The sequence below is a fragment of the Homo sapiens genome, chromosome 2 (genome assembly GCF_000001405.40).
Source record: "Homo sapiens chromosome 2, GRCh38.p14 Primary Assembly".
Lineage (NCBI taxonomy): Eukaryota > Metazoa > Chordata > Mammalia > Primates > Hominidae > Homo > Homo sapiens.
The window spans coordinates 241544384-241568264 of record NC_000002.12 but is presented as its reverse complement, the minus strand read 5'-3'; the positions used below and the strand labels follow the sequence as shown (position 1 = coordinate 241568264).

General features: G+C 55.9%; 1 protein-coding gene and 2 long non-coding RNA genes across 10 annotated transcripts in view, besides 6 other annotated features; 2 read left to right on the top strand and 1 right to left on the bottom strand.

Moving 5' to 3' along the window:
- The window catches only part of BOK (BCL2 family apoptosis regulator BOK), a 22739-nt gene extending 5867 nt beyond the window's left edge, over positions 1-16872 (bottom strand). For 2 of the 7 annotated variants that reach the window (NM_032515.5, XM_011511697.4), the window contains exons 1-3: positions 9272-9520; positions 8562-8810; positions 5789-5917 (exon numbers count right to left, since the gene is read on the bottom strand). In NM_032515.5, the coding sequence (NP_115904.1) occupies positions 5789-5917; positions 8562-8781 (349 nt within the window). In that variant the 5' untranslated portion in view covers positions 8782-8810; positions 9272-9520. Of the gene's footprint in view, positions 1-5788; positions 5918-8000; positions 8195-8561; positions 9047-9176; positions 9521-16787 lie in introns of those variants that run through there. The other 5 variants (XM_011511696.3, XM_047445590.1, XM_047445587.1 and 2 more) reach the window with 5 other exon arrangements.
- Positions 8498-8627: a silencer, noted in NCBI's record as "silent region_12545". NCBI's record gives its function as "represses an Ori minimal core promoter by ATAC-STARR-seq in GM12878 lymphoblastoid cells {active_cell/tissue: GM12878}" and the evidence as "EXISTENCE:reporter gene assay evidence [ECO:0000049][PMID:35858748]".
- Positions 8678-8747: a silencer, noted in NCBI's record as "silent region_12544". NCBI's record gives its function as "represses an Ori minimal core promoter by ATAC-STARR-seq in GM12878 lymphoblastoid cells {active_cell/tissue: GM12878}" and the evidence as "EXISTENCE:reporter gene assay evidence [ECO:0000049][PMID:35858748]".
- Positions 8778-8857: a silencer, noted in NCBI's record as "silent region_12543". NCBI's record gives its function as "represses an Ori minimal core promoter by ATAC-STARR-seq in GM12878 lymphoblastoid cells {active_cell/tissue: GM12878}" and the evidence as "EXISTENCE:reporter gene assay evidence [ECO:0000049][PMID:35858748]".
- BOK-AS1 (BOK antisense RNA 1) lies at positions 9122-23881 on the top strand. Its single transcript, NR_033346.1, has 2 exons — positions 9122-9488; positions 23421-23881. It is a non-coding gene; the product is annotated as a BOK antisense RNA 1 (long non-coding RNA).
- LOC105373974 (uncharacterized) lies at positions 15424-21607 on the top strand. 2 transcript variants are annotated; one of them, XR_924069.3, is made up of 3 exons: positions 15424-15581; positions 18207-18334; positions 21192-21607. It is a non-coding gene; the product is annotated as an uncharacterized LOC105373974 (long non-coding RNA). The 2 variants fall into 2 exon arrangements; XR_007088385.1 differs by having other exon boundaries at positions 18204-18334.
- Positions 15990-16800: an enhancer, noted in NCBI's record as "H3K4me1 hESC enhancer chr2:242490880-242491690 (GRCh37/hg19 assembly coordinates)". NCBI's record gives its function as "activates a minimal SCP1, AML or CMV promoter by ChIP-STARR-seq in primed H9 embryonic stem cells {active_cell/tissue: H9 hESC(primed)}" and the evidence as "EXISTENCE:reporter gene assay evidence [ECO:0000049][PMID:30033119]".
- Positions 16082-16320: a silencer, noted in NCBI's record as "fragment chr2:242491360-242491598 (GRCh37/hg19 assembly coordinates)". NCBI's record gives its function as "represses an EF-1alpha promoter that drives an FKBP-Casp9 reporter gene in an ReSE screen in K562 erythroleukemia cells {active_cell/tissue: K562}" and the evidence as "EXISTENCE:reporter gene assay evidence [ECO:0000049][PMID:32094911]".
- Positions 20788-21321: an enhancer, noted in NCBI's record as "H3K27ac-H3K4me1 hESC enhancer chr2:242486359-242486892 (GRCh37/hg19 assembly coordinates)". NCBI's record gives its function as "activates a minimal SCP1, AML or CMV promoter by ChIP-STARR-seq in naive H9 embryonic stem cells {active_cell/tissue: H9 hESC(naive)}" and the evidence as "EXISTENCE:reporter gene assay evidence [ECO:0000049][PMID:30033119]".

Below are 23881 nucleotides of genomic sequence, written 5' to 3'. Positions count from 1 at the left end.
CCTGTAGTCCCAGCTACTCGGGAGGCTGAGGCAGGAGAATGGTGTGAACCCAGGAGGCGGAGCTTGCAGTGAGCCGAGATCACGCCATTGCACTCTAGCCTGGGCAATAGAGTGAAAAAATAAATAAATAATAAATAAATAAAAGAAGGCATGGGGCTCTGAGGCAGGCTGGGCATGGATGGGCCTCAAAAACACATGCTTGGGTGGAAGCTGCCAGGCATAAAAAGCCACATACAGTGTGAGTCCGTGGATGCAAAATGTCCACAACAGTCAGGGACAGAGCTGGGACGCAGGCTCACGGCTGGCAGTGGGCGAGGGGTGGGGAATGGCGGTGGCGGCCACGGGCACAGGCATTCTGGGGTGATAAAGACCTCCTGAGACTAGTAGCTGGTGGCTGCTCCACACTGGGAATGTGGCAGATGCTGCTGAATTGCACACTTTTAAGTGGATAATTATGTCATGTGAGTTTAACGTCAATTAAAAGAAATGGGGAAAAACACAACTCAGACCATGTCACTCCCCTGCATAAAGCTCTCGTGTTGCTGTGACTTCCCGTGTCCTTCAAAGTAAACCCAAGTTTGAATTCCCAGCTGAGCTGGCCCCTGGCAGACTCCAGCCCTTTTCCTGCCACCCCAACCTCGAAGGTGCCCTTGTCATTGGTGGGATGCGCACACCCGGCACAGCCCCTGCTCTACCCGCTGCACTTCCCCAGCACGTGGGGCTGTTCCTCCTTCAAGGGCACGGCCATGCGGGGAGCGGAGCCTGATGTCAGCACTGCGTGTGGCTTGCGGGACAACCTGTTCTGAGGTGTCCGGTTCCATCAGAACAGTGCATTCCACGCTGGGTGCGGTGGCTCATGCCTATAATCCTAGCACTTGGGGAGGCTGAGGCAGACGGATCACCTGAGGTCAGGAGTTCAAGATCAGCCTGGCCAACATGGTGAAACCCCATCTCTACTAAAAATACAAACATTAGCCAAGCATGGTGGCGGGTGCCTGTAATCCCAGCTACTCAGGAGGGTGAAGCAGGAGAATCGCTTGAACCCGGGTGGCGGAGGTTGCAAGATCACAACTCTTCATTCCAGCCTCGGCAAAAGAGCAAAAATTAAAAAAAAAAAAAAGAACATACTATGTTCCGAGTGATGGCAACATTTCCACTCCAGAGGGGTGGATGGGAAAGAAAGACAGGAAGACAGGAGTCCGGAGGCACCAGCCTCGGCGTCCACTGTGTCCTTCCAGCTCTTCTGTGTCTTTTTAACTGATATAATTCCATTACCATAAAATTAATCTTTTAAAAGTGGGATATCTTTGAGCATATTCACAAAGCTGTGCAACCATCACCTCTATCTAATTCTAGAACATTTTCATCATCCCACGAGAAACCCCATGCCCACTAGCAGTCACTCCCTATTTCACCGACAGCCCCTGGCAGCCACTCATCTTACTTTCTGTCTCTGTAGATTTACCTACCCTGAAAATTTCACATAAGTGTAATCACACGGCTTGTTCATTTTGTGTCTGGCGTATTTCACAGGTTGAGGTGGCAGGAAAAGGGCTGGAGTCTGCCAGGGGCCAGCTCAGCTGGGAATTCAAACTTAGGTTTACTTTGAAAGACACGGGAAGTCACAGCAACACGAGAACTTTATGCAGGGAAGTGACATGGTCTGATTTGTGTTTTTTCCCAGCACTGTGGGAGGCCGAAGTGGGTGGATCACCTGAGGTCAGGAGTTCGAGACCAGCCTGGTTGACATGGTGAAACTCTGTCTGCTAATAATATAAATAATACTAACAATACAAAAATTAGCTAGGCGTGGTGGCACATACCTGTAATCCCAGCTACTCGAGAGGCTGAGGCAGGAGAACTGCTTGAACCCAGGAAATGGAGGTTGCAGTGAGCCGAGATCGCACCATTGCACCTCCAGCCTGGGCAACAAGAGTGAAACTCCATCTCAAAAAAAAAAAAGAAAAAAGAAAAAAAAGAAAGAATAGGGTCTGCCTCTGTCACCCAGGCTGGAGAGCAGTGGCACAATCTCGGCTCACCGCAACCTGCGCCTCCCGGGTTCAAGCGATTCTCCTGTCTCAGCCTCCCGAGTAGCTGAGATTACAGGCATGTGCCACCAAACCTGGCCAATTTTGTATTTTTATTAGAGACAGGGTTTCTTCTTTTTGGTCAGGCTGGTCTCAAACTCCCGACCTCAGGTGATCCACCCACCTCGGCCTCCCAAAGTGCTGGGATTACAGGCGTGAGTCACTGCACCCAGCCATTTTTATTTTTCTTATAATAAAACTATAATTAGAAGAATTATATAAAATTACATATGTATTTATAGAAAATACAATTCAAATTCAAAGAAAAAAATAAACACTATTGCCAACTTTTAAATGGGGAGGAAAATTGAGTTCTACCACTTTGGAGATGAGTTTTTCCAAAGTCCTGAGCAGGAACTTTGAAGCCCTAAATGAAAACAGCCAGAAACAACATTTGTTGGCCTCTGCCTTCGTGGGAGTCTCCTGGGGCTGGAGACTTGGAGACCCCCACGGAGCCCTGCCCTGCAGCCCTCACACGGCTCACAACACTAGCCAAGGCCCCAGCCCTGAGGTGCGGGCTGTGCAGCTTGCCTGCAGTGGAGGGGCTGGGCAGGGCGCACACCCTCAAGGGCGCCTGCTAAGAGGAGGAGAGGGAGGAAGACCGGGGGTCAGAGCGTGCAGGGATGGCTGGCGTGGGAGGGGCCTCAGGCAGGGAGGCAAGGATGTGTAAAGCACTTGGAGGCTGGAGGCTCGCCCTGTAGACAAAAGGGCCCAAGAGGACTGGGATGGACAAAGGTGAAGGGGGCTGGGGGTGCAACTGCCAGTGGGCCTGAGGGGCAGAAGGGGCGGCCCTGCCCTAGCTCCCTAGTCAGGTGGCTCTGGTTCAGGGAGGTTCAGAAACCCGTTGCAGGTCACGAGGCTCTTGGGCTTCAACCTGCGTGGCTCCCCTCGGGCAGGGCCGCCTCAGAGTAGCAGCAGGTGGGGGTGTGGGGGCTGCCACATGGCCAGAGCCGGGCCTGCGTGGGACAAGCCTGGGGCGCTGGGTGGGGTGGGGGATGCTGACCACAGGGGAGTGGGCTCCGGTTTTCCAGTGAAAACAAGACTTAAACTGAACTCTACACATAGCCCGGGCCACCTGGCCGGTGCCGCCCACATTCCCCGTCAGCTGTGTGCCCGCTCGTCCAGCCATCCCCTTCCCCTCAGCCCTCCCTGGCCCCCAGGTGCCCTCCCAGAACCAACCAGAGCCTTCCTAGGCACCGCCCCCACCTCAGGCCAGGCCCTGCTCAAGCAAGGCCGGGCGGGTAGGGGCATCCTGGCCCCATCCTCTCTCCCTGCCGAAGGGGGAGGCGCCCCACCTCTGGGCAGGCTGCTGCATTCTCAGAAATGACTGTTCCTTTTAAAGCCAGCCTGCAGCTCGTAAACCCAGCGGCCCCGAGACAGACACCCGGGTGGCCACCCACGCGCCGGCGTCGGCCAAGGGAGGGCTGAGAGTGGTCGTCAGCCCAGGATGCCTTCCACCCCTGGCTTCCTTCCGGGGCCCCACCCACTGCCTGCCCCGTGCCTGCCTGGGTCACCCTGGCGGCAGGAGGGGCGGGCACCAGCTTGCCAGCTCCTGCCACCATGCTTCCGCTGCCCACTGTGCCGTGAACCCTGCCCCCTGCCCACCCGGCCCCTGAGCCACACCACCTGCCCACTCCCCAGCCCCTACCCATATGCACCCCCAGCCGACTCAGGTCTGCCCCATGACACGCCTCAGCCTGGCCTGGGCCCGGCCCCCCACCCTCAGCTGCCACGTGGGGGCCTTGGAGCCAAACTGCCAATGAGGATTCATTTACGATCTCCCAAAGGAACACAGGAGCAGTGACAGAGTCCAGGCTCTGAGGCCACCCCAGGAGCGCCAGACAGGGAGTCTCGCCCGCACCCAGCTTGGTTCCGCCTCCTGACCCCACACCACAGCCTGAGGTCACTGCCCCTCCCCAGGTGTGGTCTGAGGCACTCCAGCACATGCTGTGGCAACAAGACAAGCCCGGAGGCAGGACCAGACCCCGCCTGGACTCCCATCCCTGGACTCAGCCTTCCCGCTCCAGCAGCCTGCCAGGTCGCCGCTGCATCCCAGCCACAGTAACTTCTGTCCAGGGAGGTCAGCAGTGAGCAAGCGTGGCACTGGAGAGGCCGGATTCTGTCAGAAAATGCTCGCAGCCCCCGCCGCCTTGGCCTCCAGCCGAGGGTGTCAGCCCCGCTCTGTCCCCATCTGGCTGGCCCACCAGGGGTCGGAGGAGACGTCTGGGAGAGGAGCTGGAGGACACCCCACAAAGGTGGGGTCTGCCTGAGCGAGAGGCAGTGGTCCTCACACTCCTGGCCTCTTCCCCTTGCCCTCCGGTGGGTGGAGGTCCCGAGGCCATCTGAAGACCCCTGGCTCTGAGGGTCACCCCGTGGCGTGGGATGCATCTCCCACAGCGAGGGTGTGGCTTCCTCTGGCGCCTGATGCCTGGCTCCTGCTGCTGTCAGGACTGCCTGGAGACAAGGCAGCTGAGGCCACAGAGATGACAGCAGGCCACAGTCACACAGCTGACTGGCCACGGACCCACACCAGCTCCCAGACAAGGGTGTGCAAGGCCTCCCTGCTGTCAGGGGTCTTCCAAAAAACTGCCCCAGGGGAACAGCATGCCCCTCCTCCAAGCTTCAGGGAATCCTGCGCACCCCGGGGTTCACTGGCCCAGAGCTGTGCCCAGCACCTGGACAGCACTTGGAAAACAGCTGAGGAATGTGCCAATCAGGGAGGTGCCACATCAGGGCCGGCGCACCACTCACCCCAACAGCAGCACCCAGCGCCTGCCACACCCAGGGGCAGCTCATAGCACGGGGTGCCAGGACAGGACCCAAGGTCACAGAGGTCAAAGGCAGGGGGCTGAGGTCTGCAGGGCCAGACCTGATGACATGGGGCAAGCGGACAGAAGCCACACTGGGCAAATCCAGGCCAAGGCAGCTGGACAAGTGGACAGCGGGCACCGAGTAGGGGAGACAAGCCCTAAGCCTCCCGTGGGCCTAGAAGCATGTGGACAGCCGGGAGCAGCAGGAGCAGGGAGGCAGGGCCAGGAGATGCCTCTCCAGGGCAGAGATGGGAGCGCACAGGAGGGTCACAGGTGAGGCAGGCACAGCCAGGTGAGATGCGCTGCTGTTCTCCGGATGCCCTCCGGGAGCCAGTCTGCTTGGACCCCCATGCTCTCCCCTCTCCTGGACGCTGGAGCCCTGAGGCTCGCTTCTGACCATCAGAATCCAGCAGAGTTACCCGTGACTTCTGAGGGTATATCCTAACAGCCTGGCAGCATCTACTCGGGAGCTGTCTGGGAAACCTGCTCCTTGCCACTCCTCCTTGGGACACAGCACCATGCTGTGAGAAGCCCAAGCCCCGCTCGGGGGCCCCTGCAGGAAACCAGGCAGCCCTAGGACGTGCCACCCCACAGGACTGCAGGTCACGCGGCCCCACGGATGCTGGACCACAACTACAACCAATCAAGAAGCCTGTGCCAGCTGCTCAGCATGCCCACCAGCCTGCAGAACCACAAGAGACCCTGAATGCTGTGGTTTGAGCCCACGCTGGTGGCTGGGCAGCTCCTGACACCTGCAGCAGTGAGATGGCACCGGTGGGCACTGGGCAGCGCCAGGATGGGTGGGGGCCAGCTCGTGGGGTCCCTGTGAGCCTGAGCCACAGACCCTGGATCCCTCCCTGAGGTCCCATGGGACGGGCAGGCTGGGCATACCTGCAGAGAAGATGTGGCCAGCCACGGCCAGGAACGCATCGGTCACCACAGGCTCAGACTGCAGGGAGATGTGCAGCTGACGCGCCACGTTGCGGTAGACGCTGGGCCGGATCATCTCCAGCTCATCGCCTGTGTGGTCACAAGAGCAGGTGAGAGGCAGCCCACGTCCCAGCTTCCTGGGACACGACTGGCTTGGGGCACACCCTGCACCTGACCCCCACCTGACCATGCTTGAATTCCAGCCTGTTCCTCACTTGTCTGATTCCCACCTCCACTTGACCCCATCTGACCTCCCTTGGGCCATCCCCCAACCTTGGCCCCTAGGGACCAGAAGACCAAGGAAGTACTGAAGGCGCCCCCAGTCCCGCCCCTCTGACGAGCCAGCCCCTAAGCCTAGCCGGCCAAGCCGGTGGGGCGGGAATCCTGCGAGAGCGTGGGCCGTGCCTGCTGGTGACTCACAGCCGACAGGCAGCCGAGCTGCCCAGAGCAGGAGGGACCAGGCAGACGGCCAGACCCCGACGTGGGGAGGGGCTGGGCAGAGAAAGCACTGGGGTGAGAGCAGGGGAGCCCGACGTGGGGAGGGGCTGGGCAGAGAAAGCATTGGGGTGAGAGCAGGGGACAGCCCGAGAGCCCGGCTCAGGCCCTAGCATGGCTCAGGGACCACTCAGATGCAGAGGCTGAGCCGCTGTCCTGGGCCACCCGCACTGCCACGCTCCCACCTGGGCTGGCTGGGCCGCTGTCCTGGGCCACCCGCACTGCCACGCTCCCACCTGGGCTGGCTGGGCCCCTGTCCTGGGCCACCCGCACTGCCACGCTCCCACCTGGGCTGGCTGGGCCGCTGTCCTGGGCCACCCGCACTGCCACGCTCCCACCTGGGCTGGCTGGGCCCCTGTCCTGGGCCACCCGCACTGCCACGCTCCCACCTGGGCTGGCTGGGCCGCTGTCCTGGGCCACCCGCACTGCCACGCTCCCACCTGGGCTGGCTGGGCCCCTGTCCTGGGCCACCCGCACTGCCACGCTCCCACCTGGGCTGGCTGGGCCGCTGTCCTGGGCCACCCTCACTGCCACGCTCCCACCTGGGCTCTTGCTGCCAAGGGGATGTGCTTGGAGGTGGCACTGCATCAGCCCTGCCCCTGGCAGCCGAGGATGGCCCCTACAGGCCCACCGCCCCAGTGCTGCCTGTGGCACCCTTGGCAGCAGCAGCGCACAGGCACGGGGCAGATGGTGCCGAGAATGCCACAGGGCCCTGGGATTGGGAGTCCGCAGCCCGGCCAGTTCTCCAGCCAAAGCAAACAGGGTAATGCTGCTGACCGGACCATCCCAGCTGATAAAGGCTGCTCTGTATCTCATTAATTAAGATCTGGAAGCAGAGCAGAGCCCATGAGAGGCTGGCTGGGGGCGGGGGACGACATGGAAATTCCCAGGACTGACCCGGCAGCTCCCAAACACAGATCTCCGGGGCTGCTGCAGGCTGGCCCCAGACTGAAGGTGGGGACACAACCCGGGCTTCTTCCTGTCTGCACTGCCCAAGGGCAGGGAGACAGCGCTGGCCTCAAGGGACTGACCCTGAGCAGCCGTGAGGGCAGATGCAGGTCTGAGCTGTGTCCCTCTGGGGTCCCCCTAGACATCTGGGACTTCTTCCCAGCCATTCCAGGGGTCTGGCATCATCTTTTCAGAAGGCCACTAAAAGGATCCCCTAGGGTCATTCTCAGAGCCCGACTAGAGGCAGCAGCAGGCGGCGGATCTCATGGAGCCCCACCAACCCCCTAGCTCCCACCCAGAGACCTCTCCCTCCTTCTGAACTTCTCAGATGGGACTCCACCTCCTCCTGGAGGCTCTGTGCTGGTCCCCATGGATTCTGTCTGCACCCCACACACACTCCTGGGCAGGCCAGGTCTACACAGCTTTGCTCTCTGGGCCCAGCCCACCACGTAAGGGCAGGGGCCACCTAGAGCCCATGCCAGCGCCAGCCTGAGAGGAGGCAGCGTGTCCCCTCACGGGGTCGTGCCCTCCGACTCCAACCCCCTGCCTGGAGAGCCACCGATTCAGTTTCACCTATGCTGTCACCTCCCCTTCCCGGGCTCAGCCACAGGCGCCCCATGTGCCCTCTTCGGGCATCACATAAACATTCCCAGGTGACGGCCACAGCCCAGCTGTGGTGAGGGGACTGGACAGTCACAGTGGGGCTGGTCCCTCCCTCTTGGGTCCAGACCTTGGAGACGGTGGGGGCAGCCAGTGGACCGTGTGTGACCCCAGAACCGAGCACCCCCAGATGTCCTCACAGCACCAACGAATACTGAGGTTTTGGCTACCCAGCCCGGTGGGCGCAGTTTCCAATGGGGGGGCCTCGGAGGCCTCGGAATCCAGAGGGCAGCGGGCGGGATCTCGGCCAGTAACAGCAAGAATCTGTTTTCCAAAATAAACATCGGGACACGTGCTCCTACAAAGGGTTTCTGTGCCCAGCTGAGAACAAGGGTCACTGTGGAAGCTTAGCCACCCACTAATAGATTATTCTTTCTGGAGCTTTCTATTGTTTATGGCCAGCATGACTGAAATCTGGGCTGAGCAGGCAGCTGATGGGGGGGCCTGTGGCGTGGGAGGCCTGAGAGGGCAGATCCGGGAGCACCCGCCTGGGTGGCCCTGTCCCGAGCGCCTGGCCGTCCCAGGCAGGGGGTGGGCGCCCCTGGGCCGGACCCCCATCTCGGCCTCGGAGGGAGGCTGCGGCCCAGCAGGGGAGGAGGCGCAGCTGGGGATCCCACCAGGGCGCACTCACCCAGGCGCAGCAGCACCGCGCACACCTCAGCCAGGCGTCCCGGGACCGGCGCGGCACGCTCGGGCGCGCTCCAGGAGAGGCCGGCGCGCAGCAGCCGCGCGTGCACGTACTCCCGGCCCAGCGCCTTGGCCTGGGCCACCAGCTCCTTGTCTGTGGGCGAGCGGTCAAAGGCGTCCATGATCTCGGCGGCGAAGACCGAGGAGCGCCGCAGCACCTCCATGGCGGCGACGCGGGTGGGGGGCGCCGCACCTGCGGGCACAAGCGCTCAGCCGGGTGGAGGGAGGCGGCGCGGGGAACGGGGCGCGCGGGGCGCCGGGCTGGGCGTGGCCCTCGGGAAGGGCCGTAGCCGGCGCCGGGTCCGCTCTCGTTTTTTGTGCCCCAAATCTTTAAAAACCCAGCGCCACCTTCTTTCAGAGCCCGAATTCAGCTACAGACATTCCCCGAGGCTGCCAGGGACCGGTGGGGCCGCGGGGAGACGGCGGTTTGCTCCGGGGCCGCCGGGCCCGCCCTCGAAGACGAGTGCGTGGGCGGCGGGGGCGGAGGGCACAGCCCAGCGCGTCCCCCACGGCGACTGCCAGGACCCGGCCCTCCCCGCCCCGGCCCGGGGCCGCCCACCTCCGCCGCTGGCGTCCTGCGCGCGTGTCCCCGGCCTCGCCGTTCCCGTGGCACCCCGGGCACCCCGGCACGGACGCCACGCCCGCCGCGCTCACCTCTCCCGCCGCATGGCGCGGGCGCCGGGGTGGAGTTCTGGCTTCAGGATCTGCTCGCCGCCGACGACGACCTCGACCCTTCCATTCAGACCCGCGAGGACGCGCGCCCCGCCCCGGCGCCCGCCCCGTCCACGCCCGAGCCGGGAGCGCCAGGTCCACGGGGCTTCCCGCGCTCTTGGGGGGCTCCTGCCGCGGCGTCGGGGGCCTGGGCAGCGAGGTGGGCAGCGCGCGACTCCCAGCTGGCGAGAGGCTGGGCTTGGGGCTTGGCCTTCTAAGGGAAAGGCAACCCTGGGGGCGGAGTCGGGGAGACGCTTTCCGAGCTTCCCCGCTTAAGGAGGACCGAGCGAGTTCCCTGGATGCGCCCGGAGAAGGCGACCAGGCCGGAGCGGCCCCCGCAAGGCAGAGCAGTGGGGACCTAGAGCCAGCCCCAGCCGCCTGGGTGTTCCCCGGGGTCCATTTGAAAATTGGGTTGTCTTCTTCGTTCGTAGAGGTTCTTTCCAGAGTCTGGAGACGTGTTCTTGGTCCGGACGCATGCCCTTTGTATTGTAGATGGATTATTGGATTCGCATTTATTGAAGTTATTGCAAATATCTTCCTCTATTTTGTGGTTTACTTTTGCTTTGGATGAACAGGAGTTACTCTTAGTGATGTCCAATTTATCAATATTTTCTTTATGGTTAGTACCTTTTTATTGGGATATCCTCCTGTATTTCCTTTTAGAAGCTTGTTTTAGGGCTCATATTTAGATCTATGATTGATTACATATTAATTATTGTGAATGGTGTGGTACGGGGCTAGAGCTCATTTTTTTTCGTGTAGATATCCAATTGACCTGGCATCATTTATTGAAAAGCATCATTTTTTTTCCACCGAATTGGAGGAGTCCCCAACATCTCAACATAAATCAGCTGAAGAGTGTGTGTGTGTGTGTGTGTGTGTCTCGGAACTCTATCCCACTGGTTTATTTCTTTATCCTTGAATCAACCTCACACAGTTTGAACAATAGGATTAACCAACTTGGCCTAATTCACGTGTGTACAACACTATAAAATACTTATTCTTCCCATGTGCACATAGGATGTTTATCGAAATAGACCATATCATGGACCTTATACAAGTCTCAGCAAATCTCAACGGATTGAAATCTTACAGTGTGTCCTCTCTGAATTAAAAGTCAATAACAGAAAAATTACTGGAAAATCTGCAAATGCTTGGAAATTACATGTCACACTTCTAAATAATCAATGGGTCAATAATCACAGTGGAAGATTAAAATATGTTGACAAGAACAGTGAAAAATAAGACATATCAAATGCTGTACAGTGCAACTAAAACACTGCTTAGAGGAAATTTGATAGCTTTAGAAGAAGGATTGAAAATTAGGCCAGGTGAAATGACTCAGACCTGTAATCCCAGCATTTTGGGAGGCCTAGGTGGGCAGATCACCTGAGCTCAGGAGTTTGAGACCAGCCGGGTCAAAATGGTGAAAACCCCGTCTCTACTAGAGATACAAAAAATGAGTTGGGTGTGGTGGCAGGTGTCTGTAATCCCAGCTACTAAGGAGGCTGAGGCAGGAGAATTGCTTGAACCTGGGAGGCGAAGGTTGCAGTGAGCAGAGATCATCCCACCTGCACTCCAGCCTGGACAACAGAGTGTGATTCCATCTCAAAAAAAAAAAAAAAAAAGGAAAAAGAAAAATAAAATTACTGCTCTAAGCTTCCACTCAAGAAGCTAGAAAAGAACAATAAAACTAAAGATGAAAGGAAATAATAAAAATAAGAGCAGAAATTAATGGAATAAAGCAAAAAATAGAGAAAATCAACAAAGCCAAAAATTGGTTCTTTGAAGAGATTAATAGAACTGATAAATCCCCAGAAAGATTGAGTAAGAAAAAAGATAACACAAATTTCACTATCAAGAATGAAAAAGAGGACATCACTGTAGATACTACAAGCATTAAAGGGATAAAAAGATAGTATGGAGGACTTTTTGACAGTGCATTTGAAATTTTAGATGATACACAACTTACCAAAACTGACACTAAAAGAAATAGAAAATCTGGATAGTCCTACACCAATTAAATGCATTGAATCTGTAATTTAAAATCTTCCCACAAAGAAAATTCTAGGTTCAGATGGTTTCATTGAGAAATTCTTCTCAACAGTTAAAAAAATACCACCAGTCTCATACAAACCTGCACAGAGACTAAAAATGAGGGAGTATTTCCCAACTCATTTTATGAGGTCAATGTAATTTTAATACCGAAACCTGTCAGGAACATTACCAGAAGCTAGGAAAGCTATGGAACTTCTATCTGCTATGACTTTCCTGTCTGGGAAGTAGGAAGAATAATAATACCTACCTCCTAGGATTGTTGAGAGGACTGAATTCTTTTTTTTTTTTTTTTTTTTTGAGACGGAGTCTCGCTCTGTTGCCAGGCTGGAGTGCAATGGCGTAAACTCGGCTCACTGCAACCCCGCCTCCTGGGCTCCAGCGATTCTCCTGCCTCAGCCTCCCGAGTAGCTGGGACTACAGGCACCTGACACCACGCCCGGCTAATTGTTTGTATTTTTGGTAGAGAGGGGGTTTCACCATGTTGGCCAGGATGGTCTCGATCTCTTGACCTCGTGATCTACCTGCCTTGGCATCACAAAGTTCTGGGATTATAGGCGTAAGCCACAGCGCCCAGCCTGGGAGGACTGAATTCTTAATCCATGTCATGTAGTAAGTGCTCAGTCATTGTTAGCTGCTTTTTCAGAAAAGCTGTAGTACAGTAAAATCTGAGGGTGCATTTTAATGAACTCTTTAATGTAGAGTCTAGAGCTCCTTGGACAGTGTGCGCCTCAGATTTCTGAAGAGCAGTCAGGTTTGGGATTCCCTGTAGATAGCATTACAGAAATGCAGAGAGGGAAAAGATCTCGCCCAAGGAGTCACTGCAAGACTGGGCATGGCCAGACTGTAAACCTTGGGGTCTAACTCCATGGTTCCTGAAGTACCTCTGTCAGGGGAAGAGCCTGTACTTGCAGGCAGGAGACCAGGAAGCTCACACCTGCAACCTTCCCGCTGTGTAGCCTCAGGCAACTTCCTGCCCCATTCACAGGCTCAGTTTCCTCCTGTGCAGAATGAACTCATACTTCCTGCTTCCTGTCTCCTGTTGGAGCCGTCTCCTGGGCTCTGACATGGGGGTAGTGGGCCACTGGGCATAATTGATAGACATGTTCTGCATCCCAGGAGCTGCAGAAACCAGGTAAAGCTGTGTCTCTGGATGTTCAATATGGAACATTGCTAGCAGTAAGGAACTGAAAATGACCTAAGTGTGCCAGGCGTGGTGGCTCATGCCTGTAATCCCAGCACTTTGGGAGGCTGAGGCATGTGGATCACCTGAGGTTAGGAGTTCGAGACCAGCTTGACCAACAAGGTGAGACTCCGTTTCTACTAAAAATACAAAAAATTAGCCAGGCGTGGTGGCGCATGTCTGTAATCCCAGCTACTCGGGAGGCTGAGACAGGAGAATTGCTTGAACCCAGGAGTCGGAGGTTGCGGTGAGCCGAGCTCATGCCACTGCACTCCAGCCTGGGCAACAGAACGAGACTTTGTCTCAAAAAAAAAAAAAAATGACCTCAGTGTTTATGAAGAGATCAAGCCCAGCATGGTGACACCGCACTAGTAGTCCCAGCTCCTTGGGAGACTGAAGCAAGAGGATTGCTTGAGCCCAGGAGTTCAGGGCTGTAGTGCCTGTGAATAGCCACTGCACTCAGCCTGGGCAACTTAGCAAAGACGGGTTTCTAAAACAAATTTTAAAAAGAGAGCAGATGAGGAGATTAAGCAATCTGGAGTACCTAGACCGCAAACCCTTATTCAGACCTTAAAAAACTTGGGTCATGCTGGAGTTAGCTGAGGTCTTCCTGTCCACTGAGACCTGGAGGAGGCCCAGTCCCAGCCCTCAATTTCCCAAGAGTGCTTTGACTTCTTGGGAGCCTACATTTCTCCGGTCACCTTTGGCCCTGATTTTCTGTCTCTGCAGAACTCTTACATCCACTCTTGCCATGCAACTGACTCCTCTCTCTGCCCCAGTGTTGACCTAGCATGGAACTCGGTCCCTGGTTGGTGAGTGGGCTTCTGAGCGCTGATACCAGCCCACCAGACTGGCTTAAGCACAGGGCAGTTTGTTGATTTGTGTGACCAGAGAGAGGTCGGTTGGTTTCAGGCATAGCTGGATCCAGGAGTCTCTTTCCATCTGTGCTCCCCTGTGATGGCTCCACTCTCAGACAGACTGTCCTGGTGTAATTGCAGGATAAAGCCCACAGCTCCCTGTATATACCTCACAAGTTCAGGCTTTGCCAGTGGAAAAAAGTCGGGCTGTCCAGGTAGCTCTGGGAGATCCCTTGGGGTGGGCAGCTTCTGTACTCTGTCCATTTCCAAGCCAGCTGTGGCTGGACATGGGGAAGGTGTTAAGCAGTCAGGCCTGGGTCTCATACCTGGCCCTGGATGGTGTGGAAGCGGGTGGGCCCCCATCAGCTCCTGTGGAATGTGACCTGGAGGATGCTGGATTTCCATAAGAGCCTGCTCACTCAAGGCTGCTGTGTGGTCACAGAGTGGGGCGCAGAGGGGTCCATAACCCAGTGATGCCCACATTCAACATTGCAAATTCAAGCCAGCCCTCAGGCTTGGGATTCTCCCAGCCTAGCCATTCACCTCCTCATGGCTCCTCTCTATCTCATCTCTCATGTGACGGCTGCTTGCCTCCCCCACCCTGGTCCTCTCTCCTCCTTGGCTCAGGCCCTGCCATACAGAGCCAGCCCCTGACGGCACAGAACGGGAGCATCCTGGTTGTCCTCCTGGAAGGCTGCTGTGGCCTTGTGCCGCCTTGGAGACTGAGCTGAGCCCTCCCTCCCACGGTGACAAATGTGTGGTGCCCCCCAGAAGCAGGGCACCTTCCTCTGTGCAGCCACCTGCCCTGGCCGGCTGCAAATCTCAGATGCTGTGAGTAGATCTGTCATCCATTTCCTTTGCCCAGTGGGTCTGAGGCAGATCTGAGACTCTACCCCTAGCATGGAGTGGGGAGGGAGGTCTGCCGGTCTTGGAAGGCTTCCAGAGCCCCCCTCCCTGTCTCCAGTGACTTCCCTCACTGAGGGGTACCCCTTGGGGTAGAGGCCACTCTACCCCGTTGCCCTTGGCAACGCTAGACCCTGAAGTGAGTTGTGTGGGTGATACAGCTTGGATCTGTGTCCCAGCTCAAATCTCCCGTCAAATTGTAAACCCCAGTGTTGGGGGAGGGGCCTGGTGGGAGATGATTGGATGATGGGGGCTGATTTGCAGTGCTCGTGATAGTGAGTGAGTTCTCACGAGATCTGCCTCTTTAAAAGCGTGTGGCACCTTCCGCTTCACTCTCTTCCTCCTTCCGCCTCGTAAGACACGTCTCTTTCCTCTTCGCCCTCCGCCATGATTGTAAGTTTCCTGAGGCCTCCCAGCCATGCTTCCTGTACAGCCTGTGGAACCGTGAGCCAATTAAATCTCTTTTCTTTATAAATTACCCAGTCTCGGCTGGATGCGGTGGCTCACACCTGTAATCCCAGCACTTTGGGAGGCTGAGGCGGGTGGATCACCTGAAGTCAGGAGTTGGAGACCACCCTGGCCAACATGGTGAAACCCCGTCTCTACTAAAAATACAAAAAATTAGCTGGGTGTGGTAGCGGGCACCTGTAATCCCAGCTGCTCCGGAGGCTGAGGCAGGAGAATTGCTTGAACCCAGGAGGCGGAGGTTGCAGTGAGCTGAGATCGTGCCACTGCACTGCAGCCTGGGCTACAAGGGTGAAACTCCATCTCAGAATAAATAAATAAATAACCCAGTCTCAGGTACACTGGGGATGCCATGCCGGGGGTGGGTGGGACTGGGCGGGCGTTCAGCCTGCAGGCCACGGGGGTCGGTGGCAGCAGAGTCCTTGGACTTTGTGCCGGCCACCTCACTCTGGACTGGCCTCTCCACCCACTACCCGGTGGCCTTCAGATGGTCCTTTTTTTGCAAAACCAGGCAGAGGGTTGTGTGGCGAGCCGCCCGGAATCTTTCTGCTGGGTAGTGTGTGTCTGCACGTGCCCCAGGCTGGCACCCCTCCGTCACCTCCCGGTCACTGCAGGCTGCCTCTGAGGAGGGCAGTACCTGCCCACAAAGGCCCACGGAGCCATGGCTTCTTCCCAGTGGTGATCCCTGATGGGCTGGAAGGTGACCGAACCGCTTGTCCTTTATAAGCTGGGCTTGCTGCTTGCCGTTGAGGAAGAGCTTGTCATGGGTGTCAGCGTTTAAAAGTGGAATGTGAGTTTCTGAACGCGCTGGCATTGCAGGGGAAAGTACATACTTGCAGGGAAAAAGACACGAAGGAGACACAGGAGACGGGGGCGGGGAACGGAGGGTTCAGCAGCGGCGGCAGCCTCAGGCATAGGTGGGTCCTGCCTGGCCCTACCACTCCGGCCTCATTCTTTAGAGGGTCTGTTCTGAGCCCAGCCCCTAAGGGGTACTGAGCTGTCAGTATGTGCAGGGGCGTGGATGGTATGAGTGGGCCGGACAGGGTGTGGACCGGCATGGCGCGGCGTGGAGAGGCCAGAGGGACTGGGTGGGGCCGAACACAAGCGGCTCGCAGGAAGCCTCTGGAGTGCAGGGCGTGCTGCGGGTGCAAGAGACAGGCTGCAGCGCTCTGAGGGAGTCCCGCATTCTGAGTTGGATCAGAGCCTGGTGTCTCTGGTGGGGCCAGGACATTCTCATTGGCCAGTTCCTGTGCATGGGGTGACCCAGGCTGCATGGAGGGAGCCGCTTGTGGGTGGGCCACACCTCTCGTTCTCCTTTCAAAATGCTCCTGAGGTAGCAGCTGCCTGGCTGCTTCGCCATTGCCACCCCGTCCCAGCCGCGCCACCTCCTTCCGGACAGCCCCAGCACCCTCAGTGAGACCAGAGCCCCTCCTGCCTCTGCAGCCTCCTCTCCCGCTCCTCGAAGATTACTTTCCTTCTTCCTGGAACATTCTTCCCCCATCTTCAAACTCTGCCACCCGGCGTTTCCTCAGAGAACGCCCCCCACCCCACCCCACGGGTCACCCCCACTCCAGGTTCAAGTGGCCGAGGTGAATACTGGGTGGGCAGGGCAGGAAGTGGGCGGCAAGACACCTCCACCATCCCAGCCCACCCTCGCTGCGGTCGAACCTTCCCACTAGAACTAAAATGAGATTCCTGTGTTTTCACTTGGCCAGCGCAAGCCTTCCTCCTGGGCGGAGGGACCCCCCTGAGGTCTCCCCACCTCCCGTGGGGGGTTTCCCTGTGCCTGGGAGGCAGATGGGCTGTGGTGAGCCCTGAGTGGACTCAGCCAACAGCAGGGGCTGCTGCTATTGTGCCCCCCACCCCCTTAGTGGGTCCCCCCAAGTCATCTGCGGCAGTGAGACCAGCTTATTCTAAACCTCGGAGTCCTTCCTTCCCCTTCTGTCTCGTGGCCCAGAATGTCTACTTCTTCATGAAGCAACGAAATGCTTCCTACCTGCAGTGAGCGATGGGGTGCGCTGGTTCCGAGTCACAGAAAAGCAGCCTCACGCTGCTTCTAGAAGGAAGGGAATGTATGATCTGCGCCTCCAGAAAAGGCACCCCCAGGCCCCGGCCTCTCTCTGGGAGGTCTAGGGCTGGGCCATGTGACCGATGCTGGCATAGTGAGGCTGCCAGAGGATCCTTGACCAAAAATTTATAGCATCCTCAAGCCCTGGAGATGTTTTAAGAGGACCAGCAGCAGAAGCTAATAAAGTGGTTAAGTGGGCATCAATTTGCAAACCCTCTCGGCTTGGCCCAGGCCCCTGGATGAGGTCATTGCCCTGGTTTCCAGATCAGAACCCTCCAAGGAGAGGCTTCGAGGTGATGGGCAGAGTCTGCAGTGGGCCAGTTCCAGGGAGGGTCCCTTGGGTGCTTCTGCAAGCACCCCATCCCACCATGGGCAGAAAGCCAGGGACTGTTTGCACCCCAGGAGGCGCAGCACTGCACAATAACCCCTACAGTTTGCACGGGCTGAACGAGGTCCCGTGAGAGCTGCTGTCAGGGCAGGTGACCCGGGTTGCCCCCTCGGGAGAGGTGTGTGGTGCAGAGACAGAGGGACAGGAGCTCCCTGGGCTGGAGGCTCTCCTCCCACAAGCTGCCTGGACCCCCTTCCCCATCTGGAAGGGGGGACGCGCCCCTGGTCTGCTGCTCATGCCGGGATCTGTGGTGACAGATGATCAGATGGGATGTACCTGACCAAGGGGGCACCATACACTTTCTGTGCCAAGGCCTGTGGGCCTGTTGCCCCATTTGCCCAGATGGCTCCCTGAGCAAACAGCCCCTCCCCATTCACTTTTCCCAGAAGCTCATTCCTCTTACTAATGAAGGATCAGAGCTTGGACCAGAAGGGTTTTGTATAAACTCAGATGAGTGCTAAGTAAACAGCCGGGAACCCGCACGGCTGGAGAGTTTGTCCACTAGCCTGGCAGCCAGGCAAGGGCAAGTGACCACAGGCCAAGCAGGGGCCACAGTCTCCTGCTTTTAGCACCCCCCATGCACCGACCCCCTTCCCTCCCTGGCAGGGTCTGGAAGAGTGGGCTTCAGCCAGGCCAGGGGGTCCTGATGCAGCCTCATGTCCAGGCTCAGCCAGGCCAGCCACATCCTCTTCCACTGTGGATAGAGCTGCCCCGGCTGGAACCTACCCCCTCTGGCAGCAACCTGCCAACCCCTTGATATTACAAAATCTTTTTTTTTTTTTTTTTTTTTTGAGACGGAGTCTCGCTCTTTCACCCAGGCTGGGCTGCAGTGGTGCTATCTCGGCTCACTGCAAGCTCCGCCTCCCGGGTTCATGCCATTCTCCTGCCTCAGCCTCCCGAGTAGCTGGGATTACAGACGCCCGCCACTGCGCCCGGCTAATTTTTTGTATTTTTAGTAGAGACGGGGTTTCACCGTGTTGGCCAGGATGGTCTCCATCTCTTGACGTCGTGATCCACCCGCCTCGGCCTCCCAAAGTGCTGGGATTACAGGCGTGAGCCACCGCACCCGGCCGATATTACAAAATCTGTAAGTATTGCTGATCCGGCAGATGAATGGTGACACCAGGTGGCTGTACTGTGCACATCCCAGGCCACCTGTAAGGCCAAGCGTGTTTCATCCCCCTGTTGCTCATTGGACTCTTGGGATCTCTAGGTAGAGAATTTGCCCATTTCTCTGGGAATTTTTTTTTTGTTGGTTATAAATGCTACAGATATTTCTCACCAGACTTTCACTGCAAACTCTTTCTCTTCCTGTGCAGAGATTGCGCATTTTGTCAGAGTCAAATGTACCCATCCTCCGCAGCCTCGGCCTGAACGGGGCTTCCCCGCCCCGAGACCAGGCACTGCTCGCCCAGGCTCTGTCCTGACCTTCTCGGTGTTTTGTTGTTTTGGTGTTTCATGTTGGCCTCATTTTACTTTTATGTGGTATTTGGAAAGGACGTATATCAGGACTCAGGAACTGAAGTGTTTTTTTTGTTTTTATCTTTATTTTTTTTGAGACGGGATCTCTGCAACCCAGGCTGGAGTGCAGTGGCGCGATCTCAGCTCACTGCAATCTCTGCCTCCCAAGTTCAAGCAATTCTCCTGCCTCAGCCTCCAAGTAGCTGGATTACAGGTGTGCACCACCATACCCAGCTAATTTTTGTATTTTTAGTAGAGATGGGGTTTCACCATGTTGTCCAGGCTGGTCTCAAAATCCAGACCTCAGGTGATTCACCCACCTCAGCCTCCCAAAGTGCTGGGATTACAGGTGTGAGTCATTGTGCCCAGCCGGGAACTGAAGTGGTTTTTATTTTTATTTTGTTTCTGTATTTATTTTAGAGACAGGGTCTTGCTCTATCACCGTGGCTAAAGTGCATTGGTGCCATCACAGGTCGCTGCAGCCTCAAGCTCCTGGGCTCAAGCAATCCTCTTGCCTCAGTCTCCCGAGTAGCTGGGACTACAGGCATGAGCCACCACACCCAGCTTGAAGTGGTTTTCAGAACCATTTTTGTGAATGTGAGAAAGCATTTACCTTTTTTTCTTCCCCAGATTGGCTTGGCTGTGGGTCCAAGGTGTCATCTCTTATCTCTCTGAGGATTGTCATGTTAGGGACCTTTTTGGTAGGTGGCATTTTCACTGCTCCTTGCTGTGCCTCAGTTTCCCCCAGGTACTCCTCTGTGTGCTTTGGTCCTTCCTTTTTGGGGGGAAGGCCTGCCTTTCCATAGGAGGAGCAAGACTAGCAACTCCTTGTGGGGTGTCCAGGTAGAGCCTGGGGGCTGGCCTGCTTCTTTCTCGGGGACCCCAAAAGGAGGTCTTTTCCCCAGGCAGTTCAGCATCTCCCAGGAAGGCCCCTGAGGTCTCCTGCTTGGGGTTGGGGGTCCCTGTCTAGCCAATGGCAGCCTGAGCCGAGTGCAGGAAGGGTTCCAGGGGCCACAAGTCAGGAGGCAGCCCCTCCTCCACCTTCTCCCCAGACCTTAGCCATCCCGTGTCCCTCAGCTGTAACCCCTTAGATCCAGTTTCTCCAGAGAAGACCTTGTTTTGTCAGCTTTGGAAGGGCCATCGGGCCTGGCTGTGGGAGGCAGGGAAGGGGTGTGGGTCCCCCATAGCAACCTGGGCTCCCAGCCCCAGCCCCGCCATTCATCCATGCTGTGGTCACAGTGCTCGTCATCCACGCCTGTGGGAGGAGGACAGTGTCCTGCAGGTGGGCCTGGGGCTGGGCCTCCTGATGTGCCTCAGCCAGTGCGGCATGGGCAGGTGATGACAATCCCTCCCAGCAGACGTTTGAGGAGCTGTGCCCCTTTCCGGCACAGGACGGCTCTGTCTCAGGGAGGGCTGCTGGCTTCTGGGGTAAAGTGGGAGGAGGATGGGGTGTGAGACAGCAGCAGAGCATCTGGGATAGGCGTGTGCCTGCGTGAGGAAGCAGCCTGGGCTGCCGGAGCCACTGGGATTCCAGGGCTGTTTGTTACCACAGCAGAGCTCCACCGAGGCTGACAGCTACACCTGCTAAGTCAGTCACCCTCCTCAGCTTTGGGCTAAAATGTGGGGGACATCAAAATCTCTCATCTTGCCAAGTGCGGTGGCTCACACCTGTAATCCCAACACTTTGGGAGGCCGATGTGGGTGGACCACTTGAGGTCAGGAGTTCGAGGCCAGCCTGGGCAACGTGGTGAAATCCCATCTCTACTAAAAATACAAAAATTAGCTGGGCATGGTGGCACACACCTGTCATCCCAGCTACTCAGGAGGCTTAGGCAGGAGAATCACTTGAACCCAGGAGGCAAAGGTTTGCCCGGCCTGGGCAACAGAGAGAGACTCGATCTCCCACCAAAAAAAAAAAAAAAAAATCTCTCATCTACTGTTGTCTCCTCCCCAGCTTTTTTTCTTTTTCTTGTGGGCTTTTCTCCTTTAGAGGGAAGTTTTTAAAATTCCTTTCCTGTTATTGTAGGAGGGTTTGGGAGGGAGAGAGGGCTAAGGAGACACAGATAACAGGGATCGTGGCTGCCCTGCGCTCTTTGGTTTACGATCAGCGCCTGTGGACTCCAGTGCATGCTTTGCTGGCCTCTGCCTGCTGTGTGGCTTCATTCCAGGGCCTTTTGTTTTCTCGTGGACAGTGTTGTCCCGTCATTCCTTCCCTTAAGCAGGCTTGTGGGGGCAAACTCCCTGAGTCCGGGTGGGTTTGCAAATGCCTGGAATTCCTCTCATGCTTGAAAGATGATGACTGCGGATAGATTTGAAGCTGTCACCCATTGGTCTTTATACTCCAGTTGTACGTGTCAATCTGATTTGTGTTCCTTCTTTACCTCATAGCCTTCCTCTCCCCCTCCTCCTCCTCCCTCCCTCCCGCATTAGTTTCCTGACACGAACCTGGCGGCTTAGGACAACACACACTTACTCTCTCACAGTTCCTGAGGCTGGAAGTCCAGAAGTCGGGGTGCTGGCAGGACGTGCTCTTCTGAAGCCTCCAGGGCAGGGCCAGCCGCATGCCCGTCTCCTCGCTTGGGCACCTGCCAGCGGTCCCCGGCGGTCCCCGGCTCATTGCTGCATGGCTCCAACGTCCGCCTCTCCCACCATGTGGCCTCCTCCTGGTGTCTCTGTGTCCAAATCTCCCGCTCTGTCTAAGGATAACAGTCACTGGTCATGGGACCCATCCTAATCCAGGGTGACCTCGTATTAACCTCATCACATCTGCAAAGACTATTTCCAAGTCAAGCCACACTCCCAGCTGCTGGGGGCGGGACTTGAACATATTTTTTGTGGGGACACAATTCCCCTCTCAGGTTTTAAGATTTGTCTTTATCATTAAAGTTTTCAAAACTAACTATCATGTGTCAGGTCAACATTTTGTTTTCCCCTTTTCACCTGAAAACTTACATTTCTCTTCAATTTGGGGAAATTTTTCCTGTGTGTGTCTGTGTCTGTGTCTGTGTGTGTCTATGTGGTGTGTCTGTGTTTTCTGTGTGGGTATGTGTGGTATGTGTGTTTTCTGTGTACGTGTGGTGTGCGTGTGTAGGTGGGTGGTCTCTGGTATTTGTGTATGTCTGGGTTTTCTGTGTATGTGTGGTATGTGTCTGTGTGTGTGCTTGTGTATCTGTGTGTGTGTTCATCTGTGTGTACGTGTGGTGTGTATCTCTGTGTGTGTGCTTGTGTATCTGTGTGTGTTCATCCGTTTGTGTGGTATGTGTCTCTGTGTGTGTGTATGCTTGTGTATCTCTGTTCATCTGTATGTGTGGTGTTTGCTTGTGTATCTGTATGTGTGTGTTCATCTGTATGTGTGGTATGTGTCTCTCTGTGTGTGTGCTTGTGTATCTGTGTCTTTCTGTGTGATGCATGTGTCTGTGTGTTCATCTGTGTGTACGTGTGGTGTGTATGTGGGGGGGGTTGTGTGGTATGTATGTGTGTATATGGGTGGTGTGTGAGTATGCATCTGTGTGGTGTGTGCATCTGTGTGTGTGGTATGTGTGTGTGTGCATCTGTGGGTCTGTGGGGGTGTGTGTCTGGTGTGTGTGTGTGTATGGGTGGTGTGTGAGTAGGCATCTGTGCGCATCTGTGTGTGTGGTATGTGTGTGTGATGTGTGTATCTGTGGTGTGTGTGTGCATCTGTGGGTCTGTGGTATGTGGGGAGGGTGTCTGTGGTATGTGTGTATGTGTAGGGTGTGAGTGTGCATCTGTGTGCATCTGTATGTGTGTGGTATGTATGTGTCTGTGCGATTGTCTGTGGTGTGTGTGTGCATCTGTGTGTCTGCGGTGTGTATGTGTGTGGTGTGTGTGTGGTGTGTGAGTGTGCATCTGTGTGCGCCTGTGTGTCCGTGTGTGGGTGGTGCCTCCTCTCTGCCCTCCTCCCTCTCTGTCCTCCTTCTGGAAAGCCTGCTGGATGGCTACGACGACGACTTGTGGATCTCACCTCCGTGTTTCTCAGCTTTTCCTTGACAATTTATTTCTAGGTCCACAATCTGCGGAGTCGCCTTCCTGGGCTCAGTCTTCATCCTGTCAATGTTTTCATCTTCATCCATTTTGCTACTCAGTCCCTTCACGGTGGCGTTTTATTTGAATTCATGTTTGTACTGTTCCTTTTCTTTCTCCAGCTGATCCCTCTCTGCACACACAGCATTCTCCTGGCTCTCGCCGAGATGTCTACACACATTCCGGAGTCTCCTAATTGCTTTCTCAGTTATGTTTCCCAGGGGCGGGAGTGGGGTGACTCCTTCCCTCGGTTGCGCTGCCGTTTCCTTTCTGTCTTGGCTGTCTTCCATGCTTGGTGTGGTAGCTGAATAACGGCCCCCAAAGATGTCCTGGTCCTGATCCCTGGCACCTGTGAATATGGGACCAAAAGGGACACTGATGATATGAGTAAGTTGAGGCTCTGGAGATGGGAGATTATCTCGGATTATCTAGGTGGTCCTAATGTCATCACAGACTCCTTATAATATGGAAGCAAGTGCTTAACGATGGGAATACATTAAAAAAGGAAAAAATGAAAACGGAAGCAAGAGGGTCAGAGAGATACGCCGCAGTGGGAGCAGGCCGGAGAGAGGCTCTGCTGCTGGCTTTGTAGGTGGAGAGGGGGCCATGAGCCGAGGGATGCAGGTGGCTTCTGGAAGCTGAAAAAGACAAGGAAACCAATTCTCTCCTAGGGCCTCCAGAGGAACCAGCGCTGCCGACTCCTTGATTCTAACCCACTGAGGCCTATTTTGGATTTCTGCACCCCAGAACTGTGGGAGAGTAAATTGTGCTGTTGAAGCCACCACATTTGTGGTGATCTGTTCCAGCTGCAGTAGGAAGCTCGTATGCTTGGCAGTTCTGATTGTGAACTCACCTTTATGTTGGAGATTCCTTTACACATAAGTCCCCTTATCCACAGCGGACAAATTCCATGACCCCCAGTGGATGCCTGAAATCGCGGAGAGTACTGAATCCTACATATAATGTGTTCTTTCCTATATGTATATGTATATATCTATATCTATGATACAGTCTAATTTATAAATTAGGCACAGTGAGAGATTAACAACAATAACTAATAGTAAAATAGGACAATGATGACAATATAATGTAATAAAAGTTTTGTGAATATGGTCTCTCTTCTCTCTCAAAA